Source organism: Homo sapiens, chromosome 4 (assembly GCF_000001405.40).
Source record: "Homo sapiens chromosome 4, GRCh38.p14 Primary Assembly".
NCBI classification, from domain to species: Eukaryota; Metazoa; Chordata; class Mammalia; order Primates; family Hominidae; genus Homo; species Homo sapiens.
In genome coordinates this window covers 98431366-98444510 of record NC_000004.12, presented here as the reverse complement: position 1 = coordinate 98444510, position 13145 = coordinate 98431366, and the positions used below count along the sequence as shown (strand labels likewise).

The 13145-nt window shown below is 37.4% G+C and overlaps 1 protein-coding gene across 12 annotated transcripts in view; it reads right to left on the bottom strand.

Moving 5' to 3' along the window:
• Nucleotides 1–652: 652 nt before the first annotated feature.
• RAP1GDS1 (Rap1 GTPase-GDP dissociation stimulator 1) overlaps nt 653–13145 on the bottom strand; it is a 182475-nt gene continuing 169982 nt past the window's right edge. For all 12 annotated transcript variants that reach the window (NM_001100426.2, NM_021159.5, NM_001100428.2 and 9 more), the window contains 3 exons: nt 10449–10575; nt 7443–7571; nt 653–2521 (listed from right to left, as the gene is read on the bottom strand). In NM_001100426.2, coding sequence (NP_001093896.1) covers nt 2394–2521; nt 7443–7571; nt 10449–10575 — 384 coding nt within the window. In that variant the 3' untranslated portion in view covers nt 653–2393. The remainder of the gene's footprint in view (nt 2522–7442; nt 7572–10448; nt 10576–13145) is intronic.

Genomic DNA, 13145 nt, shown 5'->3' with positions numbered 1-13145 from the left:
TGCACTCAGGCATCTTCTTTGCTTGTATTCCTGCCCTTTTCATCTATGTTCTAGTACTGGCTCAAGATTGACAGTTAAAGCTTTGTTGTGCTGTTCTTCCCTCCTGTTGTCTCCCTTAGAATGTACTCTTAGTGGGTAGCAAACTAACTTAATAAATAGTGGCCTCTAGGACTAAGATTTAGTAGCAGGAGATAAGCGAGAGTACAGTCTGTAGACTCTCCCATCCACTGCAATGGCACATCAGTGTACCATCTAATTTGGTAGCCCCTGTGATAAGGGCACAGCCTTCTGGTCTTTCCGTACAATGATGAGTACTTTGAATTGCACTTTATTTTGCTGGAGATGGGAGTTCCTAGCATATTAGCAAATTGATGGCTGGCAGCTGGCCTAGATGGTAACTTCTCTCACATTTACGATTTTAGGATGCTTTTGTTAAAATTTTTTCCCTAAAGTCAGACAAACTATCAAATCTCAAACTTTCTATCAGTCAGTCAGTCTATCTTTCTGGAATTAGTTCAGGCAGTCTGGAAACTTCATGGATGCAGGATTCATTCATTCAGTCAACAAATATTTGTTGAACATCAATAGCAAGCCTTATTCTAGGAGCTGGAAATAGAGACAAAATATACAAACAAACCAAATGATGCCATTATAGCTTCATATACTATTTATTAAGTTATTAATATGAACAGATATGCAACATTACAGATGTCTTTCAAAGCCTGTAATAAAATATAGTCCACTATCCAGCCCAGGAGAAAGACAACAAACAGTATCATTCTTATAGTAAGTGTAGCATACGTACTCACAATAGTTCCCTTATTTGGACATCAAAGGGAACAATCAGTCAAGATTCTTTACCTCCATTAGAATTTAACTTTCTTGGATTATAGCTGTTTTAGAGTCAAAAGTCCAACTTAGATTATCCACAGAGATGTGTAGCATCACATGTTGGAGAGGAAGGAGCTACTGTCACCTCCGTGGCAGCCCTTTCTACTGTCTTGCAGTCCTTCTATATCGAAGCCCATCTTGCCTTTTAGGCCAGTAGTGGTCAAATTTGGGTATGGGGAGAAGGCAGGTGGGTCACAGGGAGGTTTTGATTAATTTACAAAGATTGTGTTTCAAAGCTCTAAAAACCCATTTGGTGGTGGCAGTGGCAGTGAAGAGTACACTATATTTCGCCAAGGGGGTCTTCTCATCTCTTGAGTCTTGGCTTTCTCATATCCTTTAAAATTGCTGCAGTTCTCAGTGGGAAAGTGGAGGTGGCAAACTCTAACAGCGATTGGTATGGGGCCATCTGCAGAATGAACTGGACTGGCTACTATGGCTTTTATAACCTGCTTTCCTTTCTTTAGTCTAGACAAGCTTATTTCTTCATCTTTCCACCTACGTCCTGCTAGTTCTAACATAAGATTTAAAAGGACTATGGAAGATAAAACTTCTCACTTTCTAGCTGAATGATGAAAAACAGCAAAAAAAAAAAAAAAAAAAAAAATTCCATTCTTCAATGAACTATACTCAATTTCCTCAGTTGAAAACAAACAAGCGCCAAATGAATTTTAAAGACAAGTGCTGGATAATGCTGATTAACTGGTAGAAGTAGTTCCTGAGTGAAACAGCGTATGTATCAGAATCTAAAATACAAGCAAAACCCGAAATGCTCTGTAATAGGGATTGTAATAGTGATTCTTCAACCCCTTAGTTTCACACTGAAAACTACAAATGTTTTTCAATATCAGGCTATTGATAATAGTCAATTAAATATGGAATCAGAAACCTCAGAAAGTCTTGCCAAGTTTGTGGCAGTTTCAATAGTCTAAAAAGGAAAAAGGAGAAACCAGAAGTTAAAGAGTAAGAGCATTGGAATTTTATTTAACTCTAGGTACCATGGATTTGACATCAGTAGGAAAGACTAATGAATAAGCAGCCATACAACTTTTTTGGTCACTGTGCTTCCCAAGCACCAAAAAATGGAGCTATTTTTCCAATTCAGTTTCATCTTTAATAAGCTAGACAGATCCTGCTGCATTCTTTGTTTCTAGTTTACCAGTACATCATTATGTAGTTTACTGCATGTGTGGAGCAAGTCATTATGTAGTACCAAGTTTACATCATCATAGGACTACAACATGCACATTCTACTTAATGTAGCTCAAGCAACAGGAATACAAGAGAACGGTTATGGGTGGAGACTTGCCTTTGACAAAGTCATGATCACACTAACTATAGGTTTAGAAATCTTATTAGGGAGGTACCTACAGCGGTTCTTCAATTGGTATTAGAACATCACATGCATGCACAAGTGGTATGGTAGAGAATGAAGCGGAAGAAGCCGCTGGATGGAGGACAGAGGGGAAATTAGAGATGGGATGATGCCGTGTATCGGGCAGTTCTCAGCTTTCCACAGTAAGTCTCTGCTCTGTGAGAGAGGCCTGCTGGGCAACACTTTTGTTCTCATGACTGCGAAGTTTGGATACGACATCTAGAAAAGCCAAATCCTGTACTTCCTTGTGTAGACATTCTGGAAGACAAAAAAATAACAGATATGATTCTGTTAGGTTGTTCTAAGTCTATCCAAAACATATACCAAAATGTTTATTTTGACAAGACTAAGCTTATAAAACTAGAAACAATTCTGGAAAAAGACATAGCAGTAGCCTAGCAATGTCTTTCTTAGAAATGTATTATAATTTAAAAAAATCATAAAAACTTTACTTTTTTTTAAATTAAAGGAAAAAATTTTAAAGATGGGGACTTGCTCTGCTGCCCAGGTTTGAGTACAGTGGCATGGTCACAGCTTACTGCAGCCTCAAACTCCTAGCCTCAAGGGATTCATCCTGCTCAGTCTCCCAAGTAGCTGGGATGACAGTCATGAGCCACTGCACAGCTACTTGCCCAATTTTTAAAAAGAAAAACGAGACGTCAAGTTCTACAATGTAAGATTAATTACAATAATGAGTTATAATTAAACACAGCTCACTGTATGATCTCAAGGTTTGGTTACATACAACCCTATCACCAGTTCAAATATGAAGTCCAATGACTTACCAAAAAGCTTAGGATATGTTTCAAATTAATTTTGTGGCAAAAGAAAAGTTTATACTTCATATCCTTCAACAAATTTCTGTGACACTGGACTCCCTTTTAGATTTTTTGTCCTCTTCTTTCTGACTTGCTTTCTCTATTTAACTTCAATTACAAGAAAATATAGGATTCCTGTTAGGACTCTGAGAACTGTTATATGGGATGAGTGAAGTCTAATAAGCTTAATGTAATCAGTACTACTGAAACTGATGTGTTTATTTTGATATGACTGACATAAACCAATGAACCAGTGTTTTTAGTAGTAATAGAAAAATCCATCCTAAAATTCATATGGAATCTCAAGGGACCCTAAATCTCCAAAACAATCTTGAAAATGAACAAAGCTGGAGTTCTCATACTAACTGATATCAAAACTTACTACAAAGCTACAATAATCAAGATAGTGGGGTACTGGTACAAAATCCTACAACTTGGGCCAGGCGTGGTGGCTCACGCCTGTTATCCCAGCACTTTGGGAGGCCAAGGTGGGTGGATCACCTGAGGTCGGGAGTTTGAGACCAGCCTGACCAACATGGAGAAACCCCATCTCTACAGGTGGTGCATGCCTATAATCCCAGCTACTCAGGAGGCTGAGGCAGGAGAATCGCTTGAACCTGGGAGGTGGAAGTTACGGTGAGCCGAGATTGCACCATTGCACTGCAGCCTGGGCAACAAGTGCGAAACTCCGTCTCAAAAAAAACAAAACTCTTACAATTCAACAACAACAACAACAACACCCTTCAATTCTAAAAATGGGCAAAGACTTGAATAGACATTTCTCCAAAGAAGATATACAAATGGCCCACAAACACATAAAAAGATTCCCATCAGTAATCATTAGGGAAACGCAAATAAAAACCACAGTAAGATGCCACCTCACACTCATTAGTTTGGCCATTACTAAAACACAGCAAATATTGGTGAGGATGTTGAGAAATGATAATCCATGTGTACTGCTGGAAGAAATGTACAATGGTCCAGCCACTGTGAAAAAGAGTATGACAGTATTTAATTAGTAAAAACAGTATTTAATAAAAAAATTAAACATTGAATGACCATATGATCTAGTAATTCCACTTCTGAGTATATATCAAAAATAATTAAAAGCAGAGGCTCAGAGATATTTGCATACCAATGTTCACAGCAGCATTATTCACAAAAGCCAAAAGGTGGAAATGGCCCAAATGTCCATGGATTGATGAATGGATAAACAAAATGTGATATATACATATGATGGAAAATTATTCAGCTTTAAAAGGAAATGAAATTCTGACACGCCTACAATGCAGATAAGCCTTAAAGACCTAAGTAAAATAAGCTAGACAAAAAAGGACAGGAGTTTCTTATTCCACATATATGTGGTGACTAGAGTTGTCAGATGATGGAGACACAAAATAAATGGTGATTGCCAGAGGCTGTGGGGAGGGGTAAATGGGGAGTTATTGGTTAATGAGTACAGAGTTTCAGTTTGGGAAAATGAAGGTGGTTCTGGAGATGGATGCTGGTGATGATTGCACAGCAATGTGAATGTCCTTAATGCCATTAAACTGTATACTTAAAAATGGTTAAAACAGTAAATTTTATGTTTTGTATGTTTTACCACAATTCTAAAAATGCTTAAACAAATGGAAGAGACTCAAAGTCTCTGCAAGGAAATAAAAGATATAAAGAAGAAGCAAATGGAAATTTTTAACTAAAATATATAACTGAAATAAAAACAGGTTCAACATCAGAATAGAGGGGACAAGGGAAATAATCAGAGAACTTCCAAGATAAAACAATAGAAATTACTCAGTCTGTACAACAGAAAGAAAATAATCTGTGGGTAAAAAAGAACAAAACCTCAGGGACCTACAAGACTATAATTAAAGATCTCACATTAGTGTCAACAAAGGTCTGGAAAGAGTGGATAGAATGGGGCTGAAAAGTACCTGAAGAAGTAACAGTCAAAACTTCTCAAATTTAGCAAAAGACATAAACCTATCAATTCAAGAAGCTGAGCAAACTCAAACAGGATAAACCCAAAGAAATCCATGCCAAGACACATCATAGTTAAACTTCTGAATACTAAACGCAAAGAAAGTCTTGAGAGACAAAAATGAAACCTTACCTACAGGGGAATAAAACACATAAGAACACAATGGATTTCTCATCAGAAACCAGGGAGGCTAGAAAAAAGTGGCACAATAGTTTTCAAGTAAAGAAAGAAAAGAACTGTGAACCCAGAATCCTATACCCATTTTCTGTCATTTGACAATGTCATTTCCCTTTCATTATGAATGAAAAAAATTTTTTTTGGCTAAAAATCTGTTGCTAGCAGTATGGCTAAAGGAAGTTCTCTAAACAGAAAGGGAATGATTATAACAAAAATAAGAAATCTAAAAATGTGCGTAAATACGATAGACTTCCCTTCTCTTTCAAAGAGTTTTCTGAAATATGTTTGGTGGTTGAAAGAAAAGTTGTAACACTGTCTAACGTGATTCTAAATATATGTAGAAGAAATATTTAAGAATGATATACGTGAGAGGCTGGGCGTGGTGGCTCACACCTGTAATCCCAGCACTTTGGGAGGCCAAGGCAGGTGGATCACCCTGACGGGTGGTCAGGAGTTCAGTATCAGCCTGGGCAACATAGTGAAACCCCGCCTGTACTAAAAATACAAAAATTAGCCAGGTGTGATGTGGCAGGCATCTGTAATCCCAGCTACTCGGGAGGCTGAGGCATGAGAATCACTTGAACCCTGGAGGAAGAAGTTGCAGTGTGCCAAAATCACGCCACTGCACTCCAGCCTGGGTGACAGAGTAAGACTCTGTCTCAAAAAAAAAAAAAAAAAAAAGATATATATATATATATATATATGGAAGAATAAATGTAAATGATTAAAAAATGTTTAACCCATAGGAAGTCAGAAATAAAGAAGAAATGTGACAAACAGAAAACAAAAATAAGATTGCACACTTAAGCCATATCAGTCATCCATTAAATGTAAATGGTCTAAATACACAAAAGGGACTGGTAGAGTAGATTAGAAAATGACAACTTTGTGCTGTATACAGGAAACTCACTTCAAATACAGCAGATTGAAACTAAAAGAGTGAGAAAAGATCATGTGAATGTTATTCAAAAGAAAGTAGGATGGCTTCTTGTAGTGGCACATGAAAGAAAATAAAATAGTAATAATAAAAAAACAAGCAGAAGTAGCTATGTTAAAGTCAGATAAAGTTGACGAGAGCAAAGAAAAATACCAGAGAGAGGTACACTATATAATGATAAAAGGGTCAATCCCTTAAGAAAGCACAGCAATCCTAAAGGTGTAGGTACCTAACAACAGAGCTGAAAATTATGTTAAGCAAAAATTGACAGAACTGAAAGGAGAAATAGGTAAATCTACAGTGGGAGACTTCAACACCCTTCCTCTCGACAATTGACAGAACAATTAACTGCAAAACCAGCAAGAATAAAGGAAACTTGACACTAGTACCAACAGAATCAAATTCACATTTATACAACAGTACCCAATAACTGCATAATACACACTCTTTTCAGGTGTCCATAGAACATATACCAAGATATGCCAATGTCCATAGAAGATATACCAATGATTTGTTGAAAAAAAAAATTTTTTTTTTTTTTTTGAGACAGAGTCTTGTTCTGTTGCCTAGTCTGGAAGTACAGTGGCACAATCTCTCAGCTACAACCTCTGCCTTCCAGGTTCAAGCGATTGTCTTGCCTCAGCCTTCTGAGTAGCTGGGACTACAGGCGTGTGCCACCACTCCCGGCTAATTTTTGTGTTTTTAGTAGAGACAGGGTTTCACCATGTTCGCCAGGCTGGTCTCGAACTCCTGGCCTCAAGTGATCCACCACCTCAGCCTCCCAAAGTGCTGGGAGTACAGGCATGAGCCACCGTGCCTGGCCTCCTAAACAAATTCCTTAGTTAATATTATGGCATACAAAATCAGAACCTGTGCCTGCTATAAAATAACATTTTAGGGTTCATGAGACTTACTGATTTTGCAATACTGAATGTTGTCTAGATTTGCTATATGATACTTTCTATTGTAGTGAGAATCTTTTGGGAATGTCTTCAGTGAAAAGTAATTCTATCTATTATACAGTTGGATGGCTAGAAAATACCAATGTAGTGTATATTTCAAGACAGCTAGAAGAGAAGATTTTCAATGTCATCACCATGAAGAAATGAGTGTTTACAGTAATAGGGGAAAAAAGTTATCTTATAACCTCCATAAACTAATTTCTAACGGCTTTAAAACCCAAAACCATCATTTACTATTACTCTATATTTAATATTTAATGTGAACCATATGTTTATGGACATCAAATGATAGAAGAATACTTACCAGATCCCATAAGAGCACATATCAGGACCATGGAATTATATTTGATTTCAGGAGCACTTCTCTCATCTGCTAGCAGTCTATGTAAAATCTGTACAAGTTTAGCACTTTCTAGATCTTTCTCAGCAGTGCCTACAAATAAAACAAAGTATATCTACTGCGTACGAACCCAGTATCCTCAGGATAAACACTGCTTCATTTTGAAGAAATTGACCATACGAAACCTTCTAAATGGAACTGATAAATAATAATGACCTAGAAAAATAATATTAAATTCAGACCATGTGAAAAGAGTAAATAGAATTAGATTTTAGTAGACACTTCAGGTGTTTAAGCTTACTATTTAATACTAACACATTTCTTTTAATATGAGACAATTAAACTTTTTATTATGGAAAATGTTAAACATATGCAAAATCAGAAAAGATGGTATAATAATATACCTTATGCACTTATCACCTTAAAGAATTATGGCCGATCTCTCTCATTCACCTGCTGTCATCCATCTCAAATTATTTTGGAGCAAATCCTATAAATCACATAATTCCCTCCACAAATAAAAGATAAGGACTCAGTGGAATTTCAATCAAAATCCTAGCAAGATTTTCTGTAGAAAATATACAAGCTTATACTAAAACTTACATGGAAAGCCACAGGCCCTAAAATAGCTAAAACCATCTTGATAAAGAAGAATAAAGTGTGAGGAATTCCTCCATCCAGTATTAAGGCTTACTCTATAGCTACAGTAATCAAGATAGCATATTACTGGTGGCAACATAGGCACTTATGTCAAAGGCACTGAATGGAAGACCCAGAAATAGACTCACACATATATGCTCAACTGACTTTTGACAATGGTACAAAATCAGTGCAGTGGAGGAAAGACAGCTTTTCAACGAAAGGTGCTAGTACAATTAGACATCCATGGGACAAAGAAAATGAACCCTAACCTAAACCTCGTACCTTATACCGATATATATATATATATATATTTTTTTTTTGAGACAGCGTCTGGCTCTGTCGCCCAGGCTGGAGTGCAGTGGCGCGATCTCGGCTCACTGCAAGCTCCGCCTCCTGGGTTCACGCCATTCTCCTGCCTCAGCCTCTCAAGTAGCTGGGACTACAGGAGCCCGCCACCGCTCCCGGCTAATTTTTTGTATTTTTAGTAGAGACGGGGTTTCACTGTGTTAGCCAGGATGGTCTCGATCTCCTGACCTCATGATCCACCCGCCTCGGCCTCCCAAAGTGCTGGGATTACAGGCGTGACTTATACCGATATTAACTCAAAATGGATTACAGACTTAAATGTAAAATATAGAACTACAAAATTTTTAGAATATATAAAGAACTCTCAAAACTCAACAGTCAAAAAAAAAATGGTTAAAAGACAAAAATCAGCATTTCACCAAAGAATATACAGTTGACCCTTGAACAACGTAAGTTTGAACTGTGTGGGTCCAATTATACCTGGATTTTCTTCTCTTCTGCCATCCCTGAGAGAGCAAGCCTAAGCCCCTTCTGTTCTTCCCCTTCCTCAGCCTACTCAGTGTGAAGACAAGGATTCAAGACCTTCTTGATAATCCACTTCTACTTAATAAATAGTAAATATATTTTCTCTTCCCTACAATTTTCTTAACATTTTCTTTTCTCTGGCTTTATTATAAGAATATAGTATATAATTCATATACAAAATATATGTTCACTGACTGTTATTGGTAAGGCTTCCAGTCACCAACAGACCATTCAAGGAGACAGATATCCTATACACCTTGACTTGATCATTACACACTATGCACATAAAAAAATACTCACATGAGTGTTTCCTCTTCCTGGAACTGGGGTTGGAGGGTCCATTCGCCCCAGTGTGAGAATTATGGATCTAAGTTGTCAGTGGGAATTAAGAGGCTATCAGTTAACAGTATTTACCCAAATGGCTTTGAATTGGATAGGACATCCCTACTAAGTGTAAAGTCCTCCTTTGTGTTAAGCAGCCTTAGGCCTTAACCACAGGCCACGTGACTCTATTACACCATCCCTGGCTGACTGTCTTGGGTTGGCTCCAAAGCCATCCAGCTTATGCTATTCATAAACTAGATGTCTACGGATTAGCTTCTCGTGATGAATTCTGCCCAACAGAAATGCTATATTAGGGCCGGGCATGGTGGATCACGCCTGTAATCCCAGCGCTTTGGGAGGGCTGAGGTGGGTGGATCACTTGAGGTCAGGAGTTCAAGACCAGCCTGACCAACATGGTGAAACCCTGTCTCTACAAAACATACAAAAATTAGTCAGGCACAGTGGCATGCACCTGTAATCCCAGCTACTCAGGAGGCTGAGGCACGAGAATTGCTTGAACCCAGGACGCGGACGTTGCAGTGAGCTGAGATTGCGCCACTGCACTCTAGCCTCCTGGGTGACAAAGCAAGACTGTTTCAAAAAAAAAAAAAAAAAAGCTATGTTAAACTGAAACTAATGAAATTATTTAGCCTATTTAGCCTCTGCTTTGGGGGAGTTCTGAATGCAAAACACACAGAAGGGTAACACAGAAGACAAGACATTAGAGTAAGGCAATAGAAGTCACGGTGATGGAGAAGGAGAACAGCAAGAAAGAATCGGTAGTAGAGAGAACCAGCAGAGATGGAAGAGAAAGTATGGGTCACTGGGAGAGTAGCAGACTCTTCATATGCTGTCATATTCTAAATATTGTTTGGTTTCTCTGTGAAGCCTGCTGAAAACGTTTTCTCTATTCTCTAAGTGGCTGTAACTTGAGACATTATTTAAAAGTTAAACTTACCTTAATGCATTGCCCTAAAAATGTTACCAAAAACACAGCCAAAGGGGACAGCTGTAACAATCTATATAGAATGATTTTCCATAGATTCAGAGAACGGTACAGACACTAGCAAAATGCTTCCAGTCAAGGTTCTGTCTGACTTCAACTCCACTTCTATACTTCCTTTCATCCAAGATAAAAATAGAAGAAAATAAGTTTGTCACTGGGGTACTTACCCAATTCTAAAGCTGCTATTAATGCCAAAGCAACAAGAGCTTCATTCTGCATTATTACATGTTCACTAGTTGCCATGGTAACTAGATGCTTGATGCCACCACTCTGCACAATGGTTTTAATTACATCCTACAATAAATAATATCAGAGAATTATAGACTTTAATTTTAAACATAAGGAACATGCATTAAAATCAGTCAACTCATTGTTGAGTGGTTTTGCGACAGTGTCCTGTATGAATCATTTGATTTAATCATAGTTTTTTTCTCCACAGAAGAAAAGGAAAAAGCTTTTAGCTTTAAATACATTCATCAAAAGATGACAACTTAAATTGCCTAAGTAGAAAAGACCACTGCAGTTCATATTAAAAAACAGAAGGCTTAGAAGCTACCAAAGCCAAAGAAGTAAAAATGTCACTGCCTTAAATGTTGACCTACCTTAGGATTGACAAACAAGAATAAAACTTGGAATTTAAAAAAGTTCTCAGCTGGGCACGGTGGCTCAGGACGTTAATCCCAGTGCTCTGACAGGCCAAAACAGGAGGATCGCTTGAGACCAGCCTGGCAACATAGCGAGACCCCATCTCTACAAAAAATAAAAAAATTAGCCAGTCATGGTGGCACACATCTGCAGTCCCAGCTACTCAGGGTGCTGAGGTGGGAGACTGCTTGAGCCAGGGAGCTCAAGGCTGCAGTGAACTATGATCACACCACTGCACTCCAGCCTGGGTGACAGAGTGAGAACCTGCCTCTTAAAAAAAAAAAAGTTGCTTTTAAATTTTCATGATAGTGCCAGGTAGTTGTTCTGCAGATGTTCCAGGTAAAGCTTTTATGAAAAAATTTTAAGTACTTTTTACCCCTTGATTTAATCTTACAAATATGAAAACTGAATTACATGCAAAAAGACTGAGCAGAACTTAAAATTCTCCATCTGCCCTCATTTCTCATGGTGCTTAGAGCTCTGTCTTCTCTCCATGACAGAGGAGACATCAAGCTCTGGATTCAATAAATCCCACTGACTGAGCAAATTACTGAACCTCTCTTACCTCAGTACTATCTCCATGTCACTGGAATGATGTAAGTATATATCTCATAGGTTTTTGTTATTACAAAGTTATTACACAGAAAACATATAAGACCATCTGGCAAAAGTTAGATGAAAAAAAAAATGTTCACCTTTATTTCTAGTACCCTTTTTGGTCTTCATTCCACCAAGGGTTCCGTTGTCTTAGAACTCTTGAACTAAATCTGATTTAGTAGGAGGTCTCAATAATATTTTAAAAATAATTTTCTCTATTTTCAATATTTTTAATAATTTGAAGGTCTGGACATTTTAAAAAGCCTGAGTCAGCTTCAAAATTAATTGTAGTTGGAAATATTTTCCAAATTTGCTAAAATATTTTTAAAGGGTTTGCTTTATGCTTCCATTTCATAAAAATTTTTTGAGAAAACTATTTTTAGAAAGTATCTTTGCTTTGAGCCCAAACTTGTTTAGTGATCAAACTTGCTAAATAGAGTCCAAGAACTAAGTTTTTATGGTAGCTGTGTTCTGGCATCTAATACATTTTTCCCCATCAATCTGTTTTAGAAAGCTTTTTCTAACCTCCCCAATTTACTGTTTACTCAGCAACAGTTTATTTGAAACAGACACAGAATTCTTAGTAAAAAATTTTATAAAAATCACAAAAGAGCTTGAGTAAAGAAGACCATAAGAGATGAACAGATACATATGCAATCATTTAGGGAAGATGTTTGAACTGTCATTTTGTCCTCTATGTTTCTAATCACACTTAAAAGACCAGTGTAGTAGAAGGAAGAGTAGGGAATGAACTAAGGAAATGTGTACATCAGAAATGAACAGTGTCCTCTCTTTGGCCAGGTATACTTTCATCTCACTTTTCCGGAACAGATACCTGAGTCCTTTTTAAAATTTCTGCCCTCTGGGGAACATCACACACTGGGGCCTGTCGTGGGATGGGGGGAGCGGGGAGGGATAGCATTAGGAGAAATACCTAATGTAAATGATGAGTTAATGGGTGCAGCACACCAACACGGCACATGTATACCTATGTAACAAATCTGCACGTTGTGCACATGTACCCTAGAACTTAAAGTATAATTAAAAAAAAAAATTCCTGCCCTCTCACCAACTACTTCAACAAATGTTTATTGAATAGCTATTCTATGAAATCATTTTGCCTTATAGAATATGGGATTAAAAAATAGATAAAACATCGTATTCGTCACATGTGACAGAATAATATTGATGGCAACCCTTTATGGAGCAATAACTATAAGCTGGACATTGTACTGAGTAGCTTATAGATATTAGCAAATTTTTATCCTGCAGAAAATCTCATTAGCTAGATATCATCTCCTGTTCATATAGATGAAGGAACTGAAGCTCAGATGAAGTCATTTGCCCAAGTTCAGACAATAAATAAGTGGTAAAGCCAAGGCTAAAACCTAGGCAGTTTGGCTGATTAGTGGGTCTTTGTTCTTAAAAATTCTGGAGATGCTTTATGCAGTCTGAAACATGTTTTATTTCATAGTTCTATTCTTATAGAAAGCTAAATTTTGGTATATATAAAACCAAGGCAAATTATCCATGCTAACAATTTCATCTATTTAGCATTTAGTCAATTTGCCCTTGATTAGTGAAATCAACCCAGGTTAAGACTGTTGAAAACTGTATCATGT